General features: G+C 41.2%; 1 protein-coding gene and 1 pseudogene across 6 annotated transcripts in view, besides 1 other annotated feature; one reads left to right on the top strand and one right to left on the bottom strand.

Annotated features, from left to right (window-relative positions):
- MAPKAP1 (MAPK associated protein 1) overlaps positions 1 to 22,923 on the top strand; it is a 269,815-nt gene that overhangs the window by 104,093 nt on the left and 142,799 nt on the right. For all 6 annotated transcript variants that reach the window (NM_001006621.2, NM_001006620.2, NM_024117.4 and 3 more), the window contains one exon: positions 17,389 to 17,561. In NM_001006621.2, coding sequence (NP_001006622.1) covers positions 17,467 to 17,561 — 95 coding nt within the window. In that variant the 5' untranslated portion in view covers positions 17,389 to 17,466. The remainder of the gene's footprint in view (positions 1 to 17,388; positions 17,562 to 22,923) is intronic.
- HNRNPA1P15 (heterogeneous nuclear ribonucleoprotein A1 pseudogene 15) lies at positions 6,291 to 7,523 on the bottom strand (annotated as a pseudogene).
- Positions 15,467 to 15,966: an enhancer, noted in NCBI's record as "H3K4me1 hESC enhancer chr9:128349429-128349928 (GRCh37/hg19 assembly coordinates)". NCBI's record gives its function as "activates a minimal SCP1, AML or CMV promoter by ChIP-STARR-seq in primed H9 embryonic stem cells {active_cell/tissue: H9 hESC(primed)}" and the evidence as "EXISTENCE:reporter gene assay evidence [ECO:0000049][PMID:30033119]".

Genomic DNA, 22,923 nt, shown 5'->3' with positions numbered 1-22,923 from the left:
GCAACATAATTGAGACTCTGTCTCTATAAAAAAAAAAGAAAGAAAGAAAGAAAGAAAGACGCAAGTGTGGTGGTGTTCCTGTAGTCCCAGCTTCTTGGGAGGTTGAGATGTGAGGATTGCCTGAGTTTAGGAGGTCAAGTATGCAGTGAGCCATGTTTACACCTCTGTACTCCAGCCTGGACAAAAGAGTGAGACCCCATCTTTTAAAAGAAGGAGAGAAAACGGAATCAGAGGGTTCTACCTGGTTTGGTTTTGTTTGAGACAGGGTCTTGCCCTGTTGCCCAGGCTGCACCAGCTGAGGGTTTTGGAACAGCCTACTTAACGAACAGCTCTAAGAGGGAATGAGCGATCCTCACAGGACTGTTGGGCATATTAAATGAGATAATGTATGAAAAGTGCTTGGACCCTGATAGGTGCCCAATAAATGACAGCAGCAGTGACCTGCCAGTTGCAGAGAGAGCTTGTGGTGGGTGTGCAAGGGCTGTGTACAGACGAATGCACTTTCTGTGCCTGGCCCCGTCTCCCATCGAGACTGTCAGCTTTGTAGCTGGCTACTTTTACTTTGTGTTGCTTTGCTGACTACCTAATTGAATAATTTGTCTGACAGTTTGTATTATCCTGTGGATCTTGCTGTCCCCTCAGTTTTAGAAATAAAAGTTTTCTGCCACTTACTGCTTTCTTGGTGATGCTGTCTGGAAGACGCGGATGAAGGCCCGATAATCAGACTTTTTGGGCTGCTTCTCAGTTGTAAATTTTGTTGATAGTTACAAGTGATTCTTTCCAACAGGAAGCGCTGTTCTAGATAATTAGTAATTTATCTCTTCTTTCATTTGCTGATGTTTATATTTCTTTCTTTTCTTTTTGAGACAAGGTCTCCCTCTGCTGCCCAGGCTGGAGCGCAGTGGTGTGATCACGGCTCATTGTAGCCTCAACCTCCCAGACTCCAGTGATCCTCCCACATCAGCTTCCCGAATAGCTGAGATCACAGGCTCACACCGTCACACCTGTCTAATTTTTAAATTTGTTGTAGAGATGGGGTCTCTTTATATTGCCTTGGCTGGTCTCGACTCCTGGGCCCAAGTGATCCTCCCACCCCAGCTTCCCAGAGTGCTGGGATTACAGGCGTGAGCTGCTATTTATATTTCAACATGCATTTGCAAACTGTGTTAAATGCAGACTTTCTCAATTGGCTCTTTGCAGTTGTATCACAATGTAAACAACCATAATATATTTTCTGCTGAGGAGGAGCATCCTTCTCTGTCACCAGAGGTGTAGGTTCTTTGTGTTGGCCTTTATGTGTTACATAGAGTAACAACTATCCCAGTTATTTCACGTGTGCATTTTGAGGATGAAAGTGAATGTTGTAATTGAAGAAATGTGAACCTATTGTGTGATGTTTTTACATTGTTTGCTAGGAGGTGCGTCAGGGACTTGAATTAATTATAATTACTGAAGAGACGTACACTGATTGAGCAAATAAAGTAGTAAGCGCATTTATGCCAAGGCCATCTAATTAAATTCTAACTTTGGATAAGCTGGATGTGCATGAAAGATTAATTTTAAGAGATTTTTATGACTTTCTAAATAATGATACAGTGAAATTTTTGAGTTATATCATTAAGGAACATTGAATCTTAAAGTGATAAAACACTTAGTTACGAACCTACCACTGTATAGAAATTTGTGGATTTTTTACACTATTTAAAATTAAGGAAACAATTTTAATGTGAATAGTGACGTTTAAAATTTTTATAATGTTTAATTGACTGAAACCCTGCAAGAAATGAATATGACATATGCGCCTGGATTATTTCCTTCAATATTTATGCAATTTTACATTCTCAAAATACTTCGCTATCTTTGAAATTAAATTGTCCTCGGGGTAGTTGGAGGGTTATACCAAAATTTCCATATAATTTAGGAAGGTGATAATGGCTGTACTATAACCTTTTTTAGAGATACATCATCTAGTAATGGAGTCAAATATACATTCTCCATTGAGTTTTAATTTTAAGAGTTGATATTAAATCTTCAAGACTCATTATATTATGATAATTGATAGAGTTTAAAACATGTAACTCTTCTTTATGGTTTAAAAAAAACCAATTTTTACTTTTAAAGCATATTGATTTTATTATATAAATGATTTAATAATGAAGAGGTCCCTAAACTTATGCTCTGTGATGGGGCTTAGTTCATGCAGATTACCTTTCCCTGATAATATCATCATTATGGAAGCTATTGTTTGTATAGTTAAATGCAAAGCACTGTGTAACATTAATGATCTACAGAATCCCATCATGGCTTTGAAAATTCGAAGTGGACATTTTACATGCTTGAAGATGGCTAGATTATACCTGTGTGAGAGCACATTCTGATACATGCTGTAACTGTCCCAAGGCTGGATGAGAAGAGAATGTGGTTCTTCTCTCAAAATAATTAAGATAGAGACCTTTCCCTGTTGTCCCTACTTCTCAATTTCATGTTTGCTTGAAGGAACATTTTGTCCAAAAATCTGCCTGGTCTGAGTAACAGCTTAAATTACAATAATAAGGAATAATTGACATTTGTATGATAGTTTGCAGTTCACAGAGGATTTTAACATGCTTTGTTGTCACTTTATACTTCCTGATAATCTTTTGAAGTAGATGGTCTTATCTCTATTTTATGGGAGAGGAAACTGACTTTAAGAGAGATTATGGGCTTACCCAAGGCTGCACAGCTCAAGGCTGGCAGGGCCAGAGTCCAGATCAGTTCAGTTGACTCAGCAAACAGAAGTCTAGCAAATGTAACTTATGTTGGTGAAAACTGCCAGTATCAAGAATTGCTTTCTGAATTTAGGTCTTTGAGAAAATGATTGTTTCTGATACGGAGTGGACTGGCCTTTTTTTTTTTTTTCCTTCATACTTCCCCCCATGTTTTATGAAATGTCTTACCTACATTTGAACATGAATGATTGCTAGTTTTTCAGTTGATATCTTGAAATAAAAGAATTATTTGAGGCTATTAATCAAACTTCATTTGATAACAGATTGTTTAAACCAATAGTTGCTAGGCATTTTCTTTCCCAAAAATGTCAGAGCATCAAAATATAGAGGGTTTGTTTTAAGTAGAGAAAACCATTTCTGAGAGCAGCAACCTCCTTTCTTGTTTTGAGTCCAGGACTAAAGATTTACATTTGCGGACAGGCGCGGTGGCTCACGCCTGTAATCCCAGCACTTGGGAGGCCAAGGCAGCCGGATCACCTGAGGTCAGGAGTTCAAGCAGCCACGTCACCTGAGGTGAGGAGTTCAAGAACAGCCTGGCCAACATGGCAAACCCCTGTCTCTACTAAAAATACAAAAAATAGCCGGGCGTGGTGGCAAGTGCCTATAATCCCAGCTACTCGGGAGGCTGAGGCAGGAGAATCGCTTCAACCTGGGAGGTAGAGGTTGCAGTGAGCTGACATCACAACATTGCACTCCAGCCTGGGCAACAGAGCAAGACTCCATCTCAAAAAAAAAAAAAAAAAGGGACTTACATTTATCATAGATGTTACAGAAGGAAAAGTTACAAAATGCCATTTTCTGTGCTGTGTTGTACTCTTGAAAGGATTATAGCCTGGCTTATTCCATGGTGTTTAGTAACCAAGTTTTTTGTTTGAGATACTAGGTATATGAAAGGGTGTCTATGGAGGTAGAGGTAGATTTGTTCAAATTTCATGAGGGTTAGCACTAAGACTAATGAGTAAAACTTGCAGAGAGATTGCACCTCAGTGGACATAAACACATTTTAGCTGGCAAAACTGTTTGCCAAAGACTGAAGAAAAGGGGCTACTTCACATGGTGACAGGGACATCATCAGTGAAGGTGTTCAAGAGAGGTTGTAAGACAATCATTTGTTGATATTTCAAAGGGGATGACCCTTCAGATTTCTTGTAGTTTCAAAAGTCTATGAACAGCAATATTTTTTTTTAAGTCTATTGATATAAAAGTAGATAAAAAGTAGGAAAAAACATCATAATAACCAGTATTTCTTGAGCATTTACTGTGGGACTAGGCACAGTAATAAGTGCTTTACATGAAGTCTTTTTTTTTTTTTTTTGAGACGGAGTTTCATTCTTGTCACCCAGGCTAGAGTGCAGTGCTGGCTCACTGTAACCTCCGCCTCCTGGGTTCAAGTGATTCTCCTGCCTCAGCCTCTCGAGTATCTGGGAGTACAGGTGCCTGCCACCACGCCTGGCTATTTTTTGTATTTTTAGTAGAGACGGGGTTTTGCCATGTTGACCAGGCTGGTCTCAAACTCCTGACCTCAGGTGATCCAGCTGCCTCAGCCTCCCAAAGTACTGGGATTACAGGTGTGAGCTACTGCGCCGGCCCGTACAGTCTTATTGAATCGTCTCAACAATTATTTAAGGAGGTACTTTTATTATCCACATTTTGTATGTGAGAAAATAGTGACTCACAGAGCTTAAATAAATTGTCCAGGCACACATAGTAAGTGGCATTGCTTATAATTGAACTCAGATCTATCTGATGCCCCGACTTGTGCTCTTAATCACACTGTACTGCCTCCCTAGTTTCTATTAGTTATAGCAAGGATCCTGGAGGTACCCAGATCAGAACTTGACCTTGTTAAAGAAAGAGTGGCAGTTGACGTTCTTAATAATAAAAGCTTAATGGAACCAAGGTTGGTGATTCAGAGGAAATTAATGAGATTTTGTCAATTTTATTTTAAGCTTAACTTGTCAGAAAATACAGTGTCCAGTGACAAACTGTAGAAATGTTTTTGACAAATTAATTTGACTACAGGTACCAGATCAGGGAAATGTTAATTTAATAGCCTTTAAGCATTCCAGATTTATTGAAGATTAAGATAGCACTACAAAGCCAAGCCCCTATCTCTGAATGGATTTGTCATAGAATTTTACACAAAATCCATTTATAAATTCAGTATTACCATTTTGAATGTAAAAAAAAAGTTCTTTTTGTGAGTCCATAAAGCCAGAATTTTATTAAGATCAAAATGTTACAATTCTGGTGTTTGGGTTTTGTTTTTTTTTTTTCTCATGTCGACCCTCTTTACTTCCCATAGCCCGTAAAACCTGAATTAGACCAATTTAGGCCAGATTTTGTTTGAGATTATTACTTCTGATCAAATGAAGTCCATTAATTATCATTAGAGTAGTGCTCATTTGAGACCCCTGTACCAAGTCTGCCTACTATGTTATTAAAGACAAGACCATTGGTAGAATATAGCATCCTTTGGTCCTTCTTGAGGAAGTTGGGATAAAGGTACTGATGGAATAGAACTGTAGCCATTCTTTTCAGAGAATGGCTCTTTTGAAGGCTGCAAATAACTCTTTTATCAATTTGCATCATTACATCGTCTGGATACACTGATATATTTATTTCTGCATTAAAATTACACGTAATGATCTGCTTGTGCAGTTGTTACTAATGGAATAATGTTGCCTGCTTTTTGTCTCTTTAATTGCAGAAGCTAAGCTGTCTATCCTTTCTCTGTTTCTTTTCCTTGGGAGAGAAACTGAACACTTAGCAGCAGTTTAGATCTGATACTCAATTTATTACTGGGAAACCTTGATATTAAATAGCAATGCTAGCCAAGCCTTTAGTCTGTAAGACTTAATTCAGCTAACTCACTTGATATGGATATTTCTTTTTTTCTTTTCTTTTAGAGACAGGGTCTTGCTCTGTTGCCCAGGCCAAAGGGCAGGGGGCTCAATCATAGCTCACTGCAGCCTCAACCTCCCAGGCTCAAGTGAACCTCCCACCTCAGCCTCCTGAGTAGCTGGGACTACAGACATGTGCCACCAGGCCAAGCTTTTTTTTTTTTTTTTTTTTTTTTTTTTGAGACGGAGTCTCGCTCTGTCGTCCAGGCTGGAGTGCAGTGGCACGATCTCGGCTCATTGCAAGCTCCACCTCCTGGGTTCACGCCATTCTCCTGCCTCAGCCTCCCAAGTAGCTGGGACTACAGGCGCCCACCACCACGCCCGGCTAATTTTTTGTATTTGTTTTAGTAGAGACAGGGTTTCACTTTGTTAGCCAGGATGGTCTCGATCTCCTGACCTCGTGATCTGCCCGCCTTGGCCTCCAAAGTGCTGGGATTACAGGCATAAGCCACCGCGCCTGGCCTTTTTTTTTTTTTTTTTTAAGACACATTTATTCAGCGTCATGATCAGACTGTTACATTTAGCAATCAACAGCATGGGTACAAAAAAGAAATCTACATTAAAATCCTTTGTTGGAATGCTTTACATTTTCCACAGAAGAAAAACTAAAACAACCTGTTATACAATTAGTCACAAATACAGTCCTCGAGTTTTTTGCCCATACACATGAGTATTTGTCTAAAACATGTCTTCTTTGTAGCAGCTAGGCCTTGCCACCACTGTGCTTGGCTGAGTTCACAAATCTGTTGTAACCTGTAGCTTCGCTGTCACTTCTCTGGCTCTCCTCTCCTGTTAAGCTTTGTTTGCTGGCAGTAATTAAAATCTTCTGCCACTGCTGTAGCTACTGCTGCTACTGGAACTGCCATAGCCACCTCGGTTTTGTGGTTTGGGAAAGTACTGGCTTCCACCACCATAGCTGCCAGAGCTTCTGCCTCCAAAGTTTCCTTTCATCATGGGTTCAAAATTTGAAGACTGATTGTTGTAATTGCCAGAATCATTGTAGCTTCCACCACCCTCCAAAATTGCTTCCATCAGTACCAAATCCATTATAGCCATCCCTACTGCCACCATATCCACCACCACCATGGTTGCCACCAAAGGCACCACAACCACTGAAGTTTCCTCCATGACCAAAGTTGTCATTCCTACCGAAGTCACCTTCACGACCACCACCAAAGTTTCCAGAACCACTTCGACCTCTTTCGCTGGATGAAGTATTAGCCATCTCTTGCTTTGACAGAGCTTTCCTAACTTCACAATTGTGGCCATTCACAGTATGGTGTTTTTGAATGACAGTCTTATCCACGGAGTCGTGGCCATCAAAGGTTACAAAGGCAAGTCCCCTTTTCTTGCCACTGCCTCGGTCAGTCGTGATTTCAATCACTTCAGTTTTTCCACGCTGTTCAAAATAATCTCGCAGGTGATGTTCTTCAGTGTCTTCTTTAATGCCACCAACAAATATCTTTTTCACAGTTAAGTGGGCACCTGGTCTTTGAGAATCTTCTCTTGAGACAGCTCTCTTTGGTTCCACAACTCCGATCCACCTTGTGTGGCCTTGCATTCATGGCTGCATCCACCTCCTCCACAGTGGCATAGGTGACAAACCCAAAACCCCCGGAACGCTTGGTGTTGGAATCTTTCATTACCACACAGTCTGGGAGCGTTCCCCATTGCTCACAATGGCTCCTCTTGCTCTCATTGGTTGTTTCAAAGCTCAACCCTCCAATGAAGAGATTCCTTAGCTGTTCCGGCTCTTTAGGAGACTCTGACTTAGGACGGCAGGGAGAAGAGAGACTTTAACGATGCTTCCTTGGCGTGTCCACAGGCAGAAAGGAGTAAGCTGACAAACATAGCATGATATTTCTTAATTCAAGATTATTTTGAACTGAATCCCATCTGTATTCTTATTGCTTCTCCTACTTTGGAAACTATCAGGTATATGATTTTGAAATTAATTTTATGATAAGCAGCTAATGTATATTATTTTAATTAATAGGATCAGCTGAGAAAAGCTGCTCTAGATAATGTTTTAATTCATCAGCATGTTCAAATACATACATTTCAATTCTATATCTGTTCACATTCTGTGTATTAGAAGTTATTTTAGATTTTTAAGTTTACCCATTTTATGAGCTAATTATTAATTGGGTAACCTTTGGTTCATAGTATTGATATTTCATAATTGGCCTAGAGACACTTTTTAAAAGACTGAGCTTTTCCAGTATATATCACAAGTTACAAAACATTCATAGTCTTTGACTTAGTAATCTACTTCTAGAAATATTTTCACATTTATATAGGAAAATGTTTATGAGATTATTTATAATAATGGAATATTGTAAACAGCTTCCATTTCTAAAAATGGGAGAATAGGTGGTACCACCATATGCTATAATATAATGCAAGTGTTTAAATCATGTGTTAAAAGAATATTAATCATTTATTCCATCAGTATGTGTAAGTAACTATGTCGGGCCCTTTGTTAGGTGCTGGGGATATTTCAGAGAGGAAAGAGTGTTCCTGAAGAACAGGGGCTGGGAAGTAGAAAAGGTATAGCTGCTCTACCTGGGATAGAGAATTGGTAGGTCCGGTGGGTCCATTCTGAAAGAGAGTCTGAGGAGTCCTTTTGATTTAGCCAGCTAGCATGAAACCCCTGCTGTGTTCTAGGCTCTAAGAGAATACAAAATGGATGAGGCTATTTTTCCCTTTATGTAATTCACAGCTGAATGAGAGAGTGTGGGGAAGGAGGTGGTGAGGGTAGTTACAGAAAAAAGTGAAACTGTAAGTCTGTGCAAATCAAATTGTTAGGGGAGGAGAGAAGAGGGAATTTATTTCGTCTTCTACCTTCTTGGAAGAGGTGATATTTGAATTGAAGGACAGAAGAAGAGCTATGTTTCTTGATCAGTGACTTTGTGGCAGGCATTTTAGATACATCTTATTTGCTTTCCAAGTGAGTAAATACAAGTTCTGAGAGGTGAGGTTACTTTCCCAAAGTCTAAGGTCTAGCAGCTAAGGAAGTGGTAAAGCCAGGATTCCGACCTGGGCCTAGCTGACCCCGAGTCTGTGCTCTTAATTACTGTTCAGTGTACATCAGTAATGATATGAGGGACCAGATTGCAAAGGGCATTAACTGCCACCTAAGGAGTTGGAATGCTACCACTAGGCCATCCTGTGTTTCCACATGACTGGCATGGTCTGTGATTTGAGAAAAATCACATTGGTGGCAATAAGGAAAGAAAGATTTGGAGGGGAAGGATTTTTAAAAATAAAGAAATAGTTGGAGATTGCTGCAGTGGTCTCGCTGACAGATGACAAAGCTGACGAAGCCTAAACTGGGGCGTTGGCAATAAGCATGGGAAGGAGAGAGATTTGGGAGGCATTTCAGAGGCATTTGGATGGTAGAGTGTGAGACAGAAAGAGGAATTAGGATTCCTAGCTTGCGTGACAGAGTAGATGGTGAAAGCCTTAGTTGAGATAGAGTATAGAATGACAGACATGCCAGTGAAGAAGAAAATTGGTGTTGGATATGTTAAATTTCAGATTCTGACTGCATTTGCAAAGCCATCAGGTCAGGGAGAGGCTGTGGGATATGAAGTTGAGTCTAGTTGGTCCTCATGAGTTGCATTTGTGCCAAGAAAGTTTTGCTATAGGAAGTACTTTTCTGTTTGTTCTCAAACCTGCCTTGGGGGCATTTCCTGATTTAGGAGCTGCTCTGGAGAATGTTGTTCAACTTCAAATTGTCAGCTGATTGTGAATTTATTACCTTTTTTTTTCTTTTTCTTTTTGAGACAGAGTCTCGCTCTGTCCCAGGCAGAAGTGCAGTGGCATGATCTCTACTCACTGCAACCTCTGCCTCCCGGGTTCAAGCAATTCTCCTGCCTGAGCCTCTCAAGTAGCTGGGACTACAGGCGCACGCCACCACACCTGGCTAATTTTTTGTATTTCAGTAGAGACGGGGTTTCACTGTGTTGCCCAGGCTGGTCTCAAACTCCTGAGCTGAGGCAATCCATCCGTCTCAGCCTCCCAAAGTGCTAGGATTACAGGCCTGAGCCACTGTGCCTTGCCCTTTTCTTTTTCTTTGATAAAAATTACTTAACCTGCCATAGTAAGGTATCTGAGTTATATATATTTTTTTCTTTTTTTGAGACAGTCTCACTCTGTCACCCAGGTTGGAGTGCAGTGGCATGATCTTGGCTCACTGCAACATCTTCCTTCTGGGTTCAGGCGATTCCTGTGCCTCAGCCTCTGGGGTAGCTGGGACTATAGGCACATGCCACCATGCCTAGCTAATTTTTGTATTTTTAGTATATTTAGTATTTTTGTATTTTACCATGTTGGCCAGGCTGGTCTGGACTCCTGACCTCAGGTGATCTGCCCGCCTCGGCCTCCCAAAGTGCTGGGATTGTAGGTGTGAGCCACCATGCCCAGCCCTGAGTTATATTTTCTTTTTTTTCTTTTTTTTTTTTTGAGTTATATTTCAACTTACTTTTTCCAACAGCCTGTCACAGCACATAGTATGTTCCTTTTTTTTTTTTTTTTTTTGAGACGGAGTCTCGCTCTTTCGCCCAGGCTGGACTGCAGTGGTGCTATCTCGGCTCACTGCAAGCTCCGCCTCCAGGGTTCACGCCATTCTCCTGCCTCAGCCTCCTGAGTAGCTGGGACTACAGGTGCCTACCACCACGCCCGGCTAATTTTTTGTATTTTTAGTAGGACGGGGTTTCACCGTGTTAGCCAAGATGGTCTCGATCTCCTGACCTCGTGATCTGCCCGCCTCGGCCTCCCAAAGCGCTGGGATTACAGGCATGAGCCACTGCGCCTGGCCAGCACATAGTATGTTCTTAATGATGCCTACTTGATCCCTTAACACAGGCTACATTTTTGAAATCGATCCTCTCTTTCCCTCACCTAAAACTTTTAAGCCCTGAATGGTACTCTTATTCTTTTTATCTCCTTTTTAGTTTATAATATTTACAATTTTGTTTCTAATTATAAAAGTAATACATGTCTATTATAGAAAATACAGAAAACTATAAACCAGAAAATTAAAATCACTGATAATCCCGTGTCTCAGAGGGAACTCCTGCTCACCTTTTGGTGTATTGGTATAGTAGGTAAATACAATAAGCATCTTTTTCTTGGTTAAGGTTCTGTTGCATGGAAGGGTACATTTTTATATCTAAGAGGCCTTCACTAGCCCCCTTTAGCCTGGGTTGCTTCTGGGCTCTCTTGACAGACTGGACTTTCCCCTTCTTAAAACTTTCGTGACATTGTACAGTGAGACCTTCAGCAAAACAGTTTGATGAGGGTCTGGTCTGCATTGTATGTCAGTGGACTTTGTCTTCGGAGCCCAGCATCATGTTTCAGCTGGTGTTTGTTGAATGCATGAGAGAATGAGAACATAAAGCTAAGCCAGTTTCCCTGTGGCAACACTTTCTCTGTGTTGCCCGCTTCCCTGTGCTCTAAATATGCCTCCATTTCCCCAGTCCTGTATGGTGGAACACGTAAATTGCCATGCAGTGAAACTGTATGATATGATCTTTGTTTATTGCTAGTTGCTTTTTCATATTTAGACATCTATGGAATATTGCTTGCCTTGATGTGTAATGAATACTTTTAATCCTTCGGTCACCGTTTTTTTAAATAAGTTAATTACTTTCTATTATGTTGATGGATTGTTTTATGTTTTAGATGATTCCTTCTAAATATTGCAACTTAGGGACTATTAGGATAGAGCTAACTGCCACCACCTTGAGCTTTTTCAGAAGACAGTCTCCTTATTAAAAAATATGTAATTTCAGTGTGCAAGGCACTTTTCCCATCATCATTTCCTCAAGATGGAATTAGAAGATTAAAAAGATAAAGTGCTTCATTCATTTAATAAGTATCTATCATATTCATTCCGATAGTTTTTGCCCCACTTTCTATTTTACTATGAAATAGAGGGTAGTAAAGAGTACTGTACTCTTTAGAGTAAATAGAGGAGTATACTCTGTGTTACTCATATGAGTACCATATAACTATCTGTCCTCATTTCCTAAACAGTGGTGACTGCCCTTCAGTCAACTGACAGTGGCAGGGTTTCCTGGAGTCTCCATCTCCTAACTGCTCTCCTCGAGCAGCTCCTCAGGCAAAGCTTTCCTCAGGTTTGTAGGGAAAAGAAGAGGGAGACGATTTTCAAGCCTTGAAGAGTAGGAATTGATTACATTTAGAGTAAGTCCAGGGAAAGAAGGCGTTGGTGTTTACAGTAGGGCCTTTGGAGTCAGGCTGACATGAGGTTTGAGTCTTGGCTCTTCCACCTTGGTTATTGGGTGTTGAGCAGATGACTGTAGCCTTGTAAGCCTTGGTTTTCTCAGCTATAATATAAAGGTTACGCCAGGTCGCAGTCACTCACGCTTGTAATCCCAGCATTTTGGGAGGCCGAGGTGGGCGGATCACTTGAGGTCAGGAGTTCGAGACCAGCCTGGCCAACATGGCAAAATCTTGTCTCTACTAAAAACACAGAAAGTAGCTGGGTGTGGTGGCACATGCCTGCAATCTCAGCTATTTGGGTGGCTGAGGCCCAAGAATTGCTTGAACCTGGGAGGTGGAGGTTGCATTGAGCTGAGATTGTGCCACTGCACTCCAGTTTGGGCAGCAGAGCGAGACTGTTTAAAAAAAAAAAAGTTATGATAGAACCCTATTTCTTAGAGTTATTGTATGAATTAAATGATATAATTAGGCAAACATTTAGCAGAGTTTACTTAACAGCTCTCAGTAAGTGCTAGCCCTATGCCCCGCCCCCCTTTTTTTTTCTTGAGACGGAGTTTGACTCTTGTTGCCCGGGCTGGAGTGCAGTGGCGCCATCTCAGCTCATTGCAACTTCTGCCTCCCAGTTGCAAGCAATTCTCCTCCCTCAGCCTCCTCAGTAGCTGGCATTAAAGGTTCCCACCACCACACCCGGCTGATTTTTGTAGTTTTAGTGGAGATGGGGTTTCACCATGTTGGCCAGGCTGGTCTCGAACTCCTGACCCAAGGTGATCCACCCACCTTTTCCTCCCAAAGTGCTGAGATTGCAGGTGTGAGCCACCGCACCTGGCCTAAATGCTAGCTCTTGTTACAATAGTCAGTATTATTAGTGTTCCTGCAGTACCCGTTCTTGGCCTCATGTGACCTTGTAGTAAGCTTGAGTAATAGAAATGGGTCGAATTTCAACACAGACGCCCTTTCTGGCATACTGCTCTGCATCTCTAAAGCATCTTACAGTTTATGAAGGACATTCACATTTGTCATCTCGTTGAATCTTCATATCTTGAGAGACTGTGAATCCTATAGCTCCTTAGTTCTAGTGCTTCCAGAGGAAGAGGAATAAACAGAAATAAAAAGAGAGAGCAATGACAAGCAACTGATCTGGGTCTGAAAAGGAGGGTAATATGAGGGCTATCAACCGACTCCAGAAAGATTCCCACTGTTTGCATTGTAACCCTTTGCCTGCCCGACAAGGCCAAAACACTTGTTATTTAGTGAAGTCTTTGTTAGCCATTGAAATTATTATTTCAGAGCTGAAAACCACACAAGGGAATGTGTGCTTGCCCACGTGTGTTTGCATACGAGACAGAGAGTGCACACGTGCAAGAGAGGGACAGCGAGTGTGGGTGCATGCATTATGTAGGAGAATTATTTTTTTGGTAGTTGCTTTGTAACATACAGATGAGGCTGAGGGAATAAAATCAGTCAATCTAATGATGGATGCTGGGTTGTGTGCAAAGTGGAATTACTCTAAAAATGTTTTTTAAACTGACTTTATAATTTCCTTTCCCTGTACTGACCTTTTTCACCTCAGAATGATAGAATTATAGAGTTAAAGATGGAACCGCATGATTGCTCAAGTCCCTCCACTTTCACCTATGACCAGGAAATGGATCCATAGAGGAAGGGCAAGAGGGATGGAGAAAACTAACATTTACTCAGTTCCTACTACGTGTCCTGGCAGGCACTGGAGTCATTCATAAATTCATTCTGTAGTTCAACAGATTTTTTCCTCAGGGTCTTCTGTGTGCCAGGTACAGGGCCAGGCATTATGTATGGAACAGTAAACAAAGCAGACGTTAACATTGCTCTCAAGGAAGTTCAGAGGAAACTTCGTGGAGAAAGCATACACTAAAGATGTACATAAATAAATCATCTCAATTGTTAAGCGCTCTGAAGGAGATGAACAGGACATGTGTGAGAGAATAACTGCAAAAGGAGTGTTAACAGTGACAGCTGAGCCCTGTATAATAATAATTAATAATAAGTAATAATAATTCTCATAAGGGTCTTATGATAGGTAGGTCCTACCATTCTCCTCATTTTACATATGAGGAAACAGAAGCATAGAGAGATTAAGTAACCTCCCAAGGGCACACATTAGAGGATGAGGAGTCACGCATGCAAAGCCATGAAAAAGAGCCTCTCTAGATACAGTGAACAGCACCTGCTAAGCCCTGGGACGTGAGAAATGCAAGCAAGGTACACACAGGCACACGTGCTGGTATATTGAGGGTACTTCCAGAAGGCCGGTATAGCCGAAGTCTGATGAGCAGGTGGAGGAGTGGCAGTGGATGATGTTAAAGAGGTAGACAGGGCCAGATCATGTGGTGCTTTGTTGGATGTTGCAGGGAGTTTGGATTTTGTTCACGGTGTTTGGGAGCCACTCATCGAAGGAATTTAAACAGGATATGGTATGATCAAATGTGAGTTTAAAAAACAGATCTAACTTGTGTGTAGAGAACAAATCAGATGAAACAAGAGTACTGTAGAATAATTTGGGAACTGTTACAATAGTTCAGGTGAGACCTGATGGTAATTTTGGTGGCAGTGGAGATAGAAGTGAGATGGTTTTGAAATACATATTTTTCACTTTTTTTCTTAAGATAAAACATTACATAAAATTTACCATTTTAACCATTTTAAAGTGTACGGTTCTGTGGTATTTAATATATTAACAATGTTATGAACTGTTACTGCCAATTTCAGAACATTACGATCACCCCCAAAAGAAACCTCATACCTCCCAATTTCCCACCCCGTCATCTTCTGCCAACCGCTAATCTACTTTCTGTCTCTATGGATTTGCCTGTTCTGAACAGTTCATATAAATGGGTTCATACAGTAGTGGCCTTTCATGTCTGGTTTCCTTCTCTTAGCATGATGTTTTCATGGTACACCCATGCTGTGTGTATCAGTACTTCATTCTTTCTCATGGCTGAATAATATTCTATTGTATGGATTTTGTTTATCCATTCATTAGTTAGTGGACATTTGGGTGTTTTTCATTCCTTGGCTATTATAAATAATACTGCTATGAACATTTGTCCAAGTTTCAATGTGAGCATATGTTTTTAGTTCTCTAGAGTATATACCTAGGAATGGAATCGCTTGGTCATATGGTAATTCTGTGTTTCATTTTTGAGAAACTGCCGAACATTTTCACAATGACTGTATCATTTTACATTCCCACTGGCAGTGTCTGAGGATTTCAGTTTCTCCATATCCTCACAAATCCTTGCTATTTTTGGGGTTTTTTGGGTTGTTGTTTGGAGTTTTTGCCTTTTTTAAATTATAGCCACCCTAGTGAGTAAGAAGTAATTTACATTATGGTTAATGATATGAAACAGTTTTCATGTGTTTATTGGTCATTTGTGTATCTTCTTTGGAGAAATGTCTGTTCAAATCTTTGCCCATTAAAAAATTTTGTCTTCTTATTGAATTATAAGACTTCTTAACGTATTCTAGATAGTAGAGCCTTATGAGATATATGATTTGTGAATATTTTCTCCCGTTCTTTTGATTGTCTTTTTACTATCTTGATAGTATCCTTTAGGCACAAAAGTTTGTTTGTTTGTTTGTTTGTTTTTGTTTTGAGCAGAGTCTCCCTCTGTTGCCCAGGCTGGAGTGCAGTGGCATGATGTTGGCTCATTGCAACATCTGCCTTCTGGGTTCAAGCAGTTCTCCTGCCTCAGCCTCCCCAGTAGCTGGCAATACAGGCGCCTGCCATCACGCCCAGCTGATTTTTGTATTTTTATTAGAGAGGGGATTTCACCATGTTGGCCAGGTTGGTCTCAAACTCCTGACCTCAAGTGATCTCCCTGCCTTGGCCTCTCAAAGTACTGGGATTACAGGCATGAGCCACTGCGCCTGGCCTAGGCACAAAAGTTTTTAATTTTAATGAAGTTCAATTTATTTATTTTGTTATTTATGCTTTTGGTGTCATATTAAAGAAATCGTTGCCTAATCCAAAGTCATGAAGATTTACACCTGTTTCCTTTTAAGAATTTTATAGTTTTGCCTCTTACATCTAGATCTTTGATTTATTTTGAATTGATATATTTATGTGGTATGAGGCAGGACTCCAAATTCATTCTTTTGCATGTGGCTATCCACTTGTCCCAGCATCATTTGTTGAAAAGACTGTACGTTCCCCATTGAAATGTATTTTTGAAGTAGAGACATTAGAACTTCCTAATGGAGTAGATAGGCAGTGTGAGGGAGGAAGAAGCATCAAGACTGTTGAGATGAGCAGCTGGCTTAGTGGTGGCAGCACATATTATTAAAATAAGAGGGGTTGTTGTTGTGACTTGGGATAGGAGGGAGTGAGGGACAATCAAGCATTCCGATTTGAACTCGTTTTCTGTGACACTTTTCTATATACTCTGTGTGGTGAACATATTGCATGGGTGGGAAGGAAGACTGAGCCAGTGTGCAAGCCTTCTGTGAGGGAGGGGAATGGCCAGAAGGTTGGCGGATAACAGAAACACAAAAGGAGGGAGAGAGGATGGTGTCATCGGATGGCCTGGGTCTCAAGAGAACAAGGATTTTTTTCACAAAAGAGAAAGTACTAGATTGGAAGTGTTAGCAGGGACTAGGATACCTACTCTTGCATGCCTTGAGGGTGCAGGGGTTATAAAAAAAAAAAACAACAACAAAGCAGTCCTCTTTTAACAGGACAGCAGAGGAGGCAGTATCCTCAACAGCAGGTTCAGTGAAGTCCAAGAGGTAGAGGAAATCGTTTTAAAAAGCAGCTGAGGATTTATGGGTGTTTGCTGATTAGCGCAGCAGCTCTTGAGGGCAGAGTGGAAGACGCAGGTGGGAGGAGTGGTAGGTGTGTGGGAGGGAGTGGGAATATATCCAGCAGTGTGGGGTTGGTGGTTAGGGCAATAATGGAGGATCAAAGGGCCCTTGAACCTGTGTGGTAGTGAAGGAAACAGATGTACTGCCTAGTGGAACTAGCCCCCAGTCTCTGAGAAGGCAAGCACCTGTTTCAGTGCTGCGGGCCTAAATCCTTCCTGGGAGAGTATGACAGCTTCCCAGGCAGCTCATCTCATTGTCTCAAGGACAATGAGACAGTTGCCAGAGAGGCACCCAGTGCTAAGGTCCAGGGACACACTGAGTTAGTAGCAAAGCCAGCCTCCTAACACCAAACATGAACTCTACTCACCACTCATATTTTCCTCTTAGTTGTAGTGCCCATTTACCTTCCTGCTGGCAGATCCCGATCCATTAGTTTATTATAAAATGAAAATTTAAGGAAAAAAAATCCTTGAAACTAGACAGTGTTTCCACTTTGGGACCATTCCATGGTCACAGTAGGTCTGTAGAGCAAGGATGAAAAATGGCTGTGCTGCCCACAGGCCTGGAGAGCAGTGGGGTCTGTATAACTGGCAGTGTGCTTTGCTCTCACGTGTTTGTTCTGTCCACAGGGTCATGTAGGTACAACAGCAACCAAGAAGATCGATGTCTACCTCCCTCTGCACTCGAGCCAGGACAGACTGCTGCCAATGACCGTGGTGACAATGGCCAGCGCCAGGGTGCAGGACCTGATCGGGCTCATCTGCTGGCAGTATACAAGCGAAGGACGGGAGCCGAAGCTCAAGTAATCCATTCTCTTTTTGGCTGCTCTAGTTTCTTGTGGTCTTTTGGCCACCCAAGGTGTCTTCTAGGCTGGTTAGTCTTTCTAGGCATTGGCCTGGAACCACACTTCTGCACTGATCCAGCTCTGGGTGCTCACCAGGTCTCGCGCCTGTGCATCTCAGAGAATCAGCTTGCAAAATAGACTTAGAAGTTTGTGAATTACAGACATGAGAACATGGATTTTTAGTAATTTCCAAACCCTTTTATGATCCCTGCTAATAAGCAACCTGGAAGGGAACGGGAGGGGATTGATGTTTGTTGAGCACCAATCATGCATTGGGCACTGGGCTGGGCACTTTGTAGCTGGTATCTGGAATCTCATTTGATCCTCCCAGCTCCCTGGGAGGTGAGGGTAATGATCCTCATTCTGCAGTGGTGGAAGCTCAGGTTCAGAGCTGTTACTGGCTGAAGGTTGCACAGTGAGAGATGGCAGAGTCAGGATTTGATTCCAGGTCTGTTTGATGCCAAGGTTTTTGCATTATTTCCTTCTGCCTTCTATAGAACCTTTGGTCCGAATTTTAGTTTTCTTTATCAGTTAATGGTTCTAATTTTCTCTCAGTCACTAGGCTCTGTTCTTCATTAAATAATTATATTTAAAATGTAGTGCTTGAGAGTAGCCTCTCTATGCCTCGGCATTATAATTTGAACTTTAAAGTGCTTTGCTGCATTGCCTCTCCCCTACTTGAGTTTCTGACAGGCATTCTCTTCTAGTTTTACATGTTCTTTCCAGCAGTAGGGTTTAGAACACAGCAAAATGTAGTAGATGCCTTCATTTTAAAAATGGACTCTCAGCTGGGTGCGGGGGCTCACACCTGTAATCCCAGCACGTTGGAAGGCTGAGGTGGGCGGATCACCTGAGGTCAGGGGTTTGAGACCAGCCTGGCCAACATGGTGAAACCCTTTCTCTACTGAAAATACAAAAATTAGCCGGGCATGGTGGTGGCCATCCGTAATCCCAGCTACTCAGGAGGCTGAGGCAGGAGAATCGCTGCAGAGGTTGCAGTGAACCGAGATCGCGCCACTGCACTCCAGCCTGGTGACAGAGCAAGACTCCATCTCAAAAGAAGGATTTTCATGGAGATGTTCTCTTCCCCTTTCACATTTTCAGAGTTAGTATGATCCAGTCAGCAGTTAGTTTTTATTTTTCTTTAGGTATATTAAATTTCTTTAGGTAAATTTAGTATGACACATAAAATGATTTTTTCAAATTCTTATTGACATTGCCCTCCACTTTGCCTGAGTAAGTTGTGGACACAAAGCTCTGGTGGCAGAGAAAGCCTTTCACCAAGATGCCACCTAGGCTTAGAAAATGGTTCAGTCAGCGGCACACCTCAAGGGTGAGCTGTGAGGTCCTCCCTTTTCTGCATGAAGTGGGAACAAGGAAACAGGAAAAGGTGTCACAGAACAAATGACTTTATCGATGTTGTCTGAAGTAATTCTTTTTTTTTTTTTTGGAGACGGAGTCTTGCTCTGTCGCCCAGGCTGGAGTGCAGTGGCGCGATCTCGGCTCACTGCAGGCTCCGCCTCCCGGGTTCACGCCATTCTCCTACCTCAGCCTCCCGAGTAGCTGGGACTACAGGCACCTACCACCACGCCCAGCTAATTTTTTGTATTTTTAGTAGAGACGGGGTTTCACCGTGTTAACCAGGATGGTCTCGATCTCCTGACCTCGTGATCCACCCGCCTCGGCCTCTCAAAGTGTTGGGATTACAGGCGTGAGCCACTGCACCCAGCCTTTGATGTAATTTCTTAAAACATTACTTAGGGCAGGCACTGAAATCAAGAGAGGAACTTGCCCAGGGTTACTAGTAAGTAACAGAGATAGGAATTGAACTGTGATGTACATCTTATAGATGAGGAAACTAACTTAGAGAGACTAAGTAGCTTTCTTATGTCACATAATAAGTGGTAGTATTAGTATTAAAACCCAACAATCTCTGACTCCAGAGCTCCATCTCTTCACTATTACATTATCCTCTCCACCATGGAACTCTGTTATAGGTGAAATGAAAATATTTATTGAGTTTGTACTTATTGCAGGCACTGTGCTAGATCTGGAAATACAGAAATGAAAGAGGCAGTTCCTGCCATCAGGGACCTTTCTGTTTAAGGTAAATAGGTAATAACAATATAATACAATTACGTGCAAAATCAGGTGCTTACAAGGAGATCTAACCCCACATTTGGGGGTGAAAATGGAGTCGTGAAAATCTCCCTTGATTAAATGACATCTAAACTGATACCTGAGGGAGCAGTAGGAAAAAGTCATGTAGAGAGGTTGAGAGGAGGGCATTCCAACAGAGGGAAAAGCATGGTTATGATAGACCTTTAAGTTCATGCTTTAAATTCTATATTCTGCTCCAAATACATAATAATAGTAAATGAAATGCTATTAACATATTTGTACTTTAATAACAAGATAAGCATCCTGGTGGACTAGAAATAGAACCAACTACAGAAACAGGCAGAGTGTGCTAGGAGTCCATTATTTTAGGGTATTACTGTCCTTAGAGCATGCTGTGGATGGGTTTACCAGTGTATGACATACTGATTTTTCTCAGGCTTCAGGGCAGCTAGTCAGGGCATGGGTGATGATCAGAGCCCTCAGCCAATCATTCCTGGGTGAGGGAACAGTCTCATCCATCTAGCTGTGTACTGTGCAAATATTGTTATTTTCTCCATATGTCATGGTGTCAAAAAGAGTGGGAAATACTACATGAGGGTATGGGACCAAAGGAACTGCATCCCTGGACGGGGACCAGAGGAAATGACAGAAACTAGAAGCTGGAGTGAGACTGTCATACCTATGAAAAGAAGCTGAACAAGGCTGCTTGGGTCTGTGGCTCATTTAAAGTTGTGTTTCTGGGGTGCCAAGGAATAGAGAGAGCAGTGCAACCAGGACCTGACTGTGGCATGGCTGGGTTTATGTTATCCCTAGTATTACAGGAACCCTGAACTATCAGTGTAAGACCTGGTTCTGGTCTGGAGGCCTCTGTTTGGATGAGGGTGGAGGGTGGTGGCAATATCTGTAAAAGCACTGACAGTGAGTGGAGGGAGAGAGCAAGCAAGGGTTCTCATTCAAGAAGAGCTCAGCAAATTAAAATTCCAAAGCACACGAGGATAGCTAGTACCAAGAAACACAGACAATAATCAGGAGATGAATTTGGGAACAGAATATAGTAAAGCAGTCTGAAAATTAATTTCAAATAAATATGTTTAAGCTCACCAAACAGATGAAGGAAGGAATAACATTCATGTTTCACTTCTAGGAAATTATGAAACAAAAGCAAGCAAATTTGAATTTAGAAAAGAACCAATTAAAAGTACAGTACTGGAAATATAAAATACAATTATTAAAGTAAAAAATACTTTGGGATAAACTCTAGGCTGGTCACAATTCAAGAGAGAATGAGCTGAAGGACAGTTGATACTGAGGAATTCAACCTAGGATATAGTACAAAGAGATAAAGAGGTACAAAGAATGAAAGAGAAGAGACATGAAGGAAAGATTCAAAGGCTCCCACATGTGAAGTGGAGAAGGAAGGGAATAGCAGAGAAGCAATATTTGAAGAGATAATGTCAAAGAATTTCCCAGAACTGAAGACAGATAGGAGTGGGTTTGATGTTAAAAACACATGCAAATTAAATGGCGGAAGAAGAGACTTTTTTTTTTTAAACAAATGGTCCTGGACCAGTTGAAATTCTATAAGCTGAAAAAATCAACCTAAATCATGTATCTTGTATTAATTAAAAATAAATCACAAGTTAAATGTAAAATGTAAGAAAAAAACAGGAGAAAATCTTTGGGACCTAGAGCAAGTTAGACTTCATTAAAATTAAAAATATTTGCTCTGCAAAAGACCCTGTGAAGAGGATGAAAGGACAAGCTACACACTGAAAGGAAATATTTGTAAACCACATATCTGACTAAAGACATATAGAATAGGTAAAGAACTGAGAACCCAACAGTAGAAAGTTTAGACGGTTGATCAGAAAATGGGTAAAGGCATAAACAGACATATCACTGAAGAGGATATGCATACAGATGGCAGATGAGCACATGAAAAGATGCTCAGCAACATTAGCCATTAGGAAAATGCAATTAAAACCACACGCTATTAGAACAGCTGAAATAAAAAATAGTGATGACACCAATTGCTGGCAAGGATGTAGAGAAACTGTATCATACATCATTTCTGTTGATAATGTAAAATGGTATAGTCATTCTGGAAAATACTTTGGCAGTTCCTTATAAAGCTAAACGTGAATTTACCATACAACCCAGCAATTGCCCTCTTGGGCATTTATTCCAGAGCAGTGAAAACTTACATTCACATAAAAACCTGTATACAAATGTGTATATCAGCCTTATTTCTACTTAAAACTGGAAACAACCTAAATGTCCTTCAGCAGGTAAATGATTAAACATTGTGGTACATTCATACCAAGTAATACTACTATCAAGAGAAGAGGAACAAACCGTTTTCATACATGCAGTGACTTGGGTGGATTCACGTAGTGAAAAAAACCAATCTCTAAAAGTTTCATATCACCCAATTCCATTTATGTAACATCCTCAAAATGACAAAAGTATACAGATGGAGAACAATTGAATGGTTGCCAGAGGACAGGCACAGTGTTAGGGAGGCAGTCCAACTATAAACGGGTGGTAAAAAAGAGCTTCTCTGTCATGATGGAACAGTTTTGTATCTTGGTGATGATTACACAGATATATACATGTAATCCAATGTGTAGAACTACACAACACACACACACACAAGTACATGTAAAAACTGGTGAAAAGTGAGTAATGTCTATAGTCTTTTTTTTTTTTATACTTTTAAGTTCTAGGGTACATGTGCACAACGTGCAGGTTTGTTACATATGTATACATGTGCCATGTTGGTGTGCTGCACCCATTAACTCGTCATTTACAATAGGTATTTCACTTAATGCCATCCCTCCCCCTCCCCCCACCCCACAACAGGCCCCAGTGTGTGATGTTCCCCGCCCTGTGTCCAAGTGTTCTCATTGTTCAGTTCCCACCTATAAGTGAGAACTTGCGGTGTTTGGATTTCTGTCCTTGTGATAGTTTGCTCAGAATGATGGTTTCCAGCTTTATCCATGTCCCTACAAAAGACATGAACTCATCCTTTTTTACGGCTGCATAGTATTCCATGGTGTATATGTGCCACATTTTCTTAATCCAGTCTATCATTGATGGACATTTGAGTTGATTCCAAGTCTTTGCTATTGTGAATAGTGCCACAGTAAACACATGTGTGCATGTGTCTTTATAGCAGCATGATTTATAATCCTTTGGG

The sequence above is a fragment of the Homo sapiens genome, chromosome 9 (genome assembly GCF_000001405.40).
Source record: "Homo sapiens chromosome 9, GRCh38.p14 Primary Assembly".
Classification (NCBI taxonomy): Eukaryota; Metazoa; Chordata; class Mammalia; order Primates; family Hominidae; genus Homo; species Homo sapiens.
Note: the sequence above shows the minus strand (reverse complement) of the source record. Positions and strands in the feature narration are given on the sequence as shown.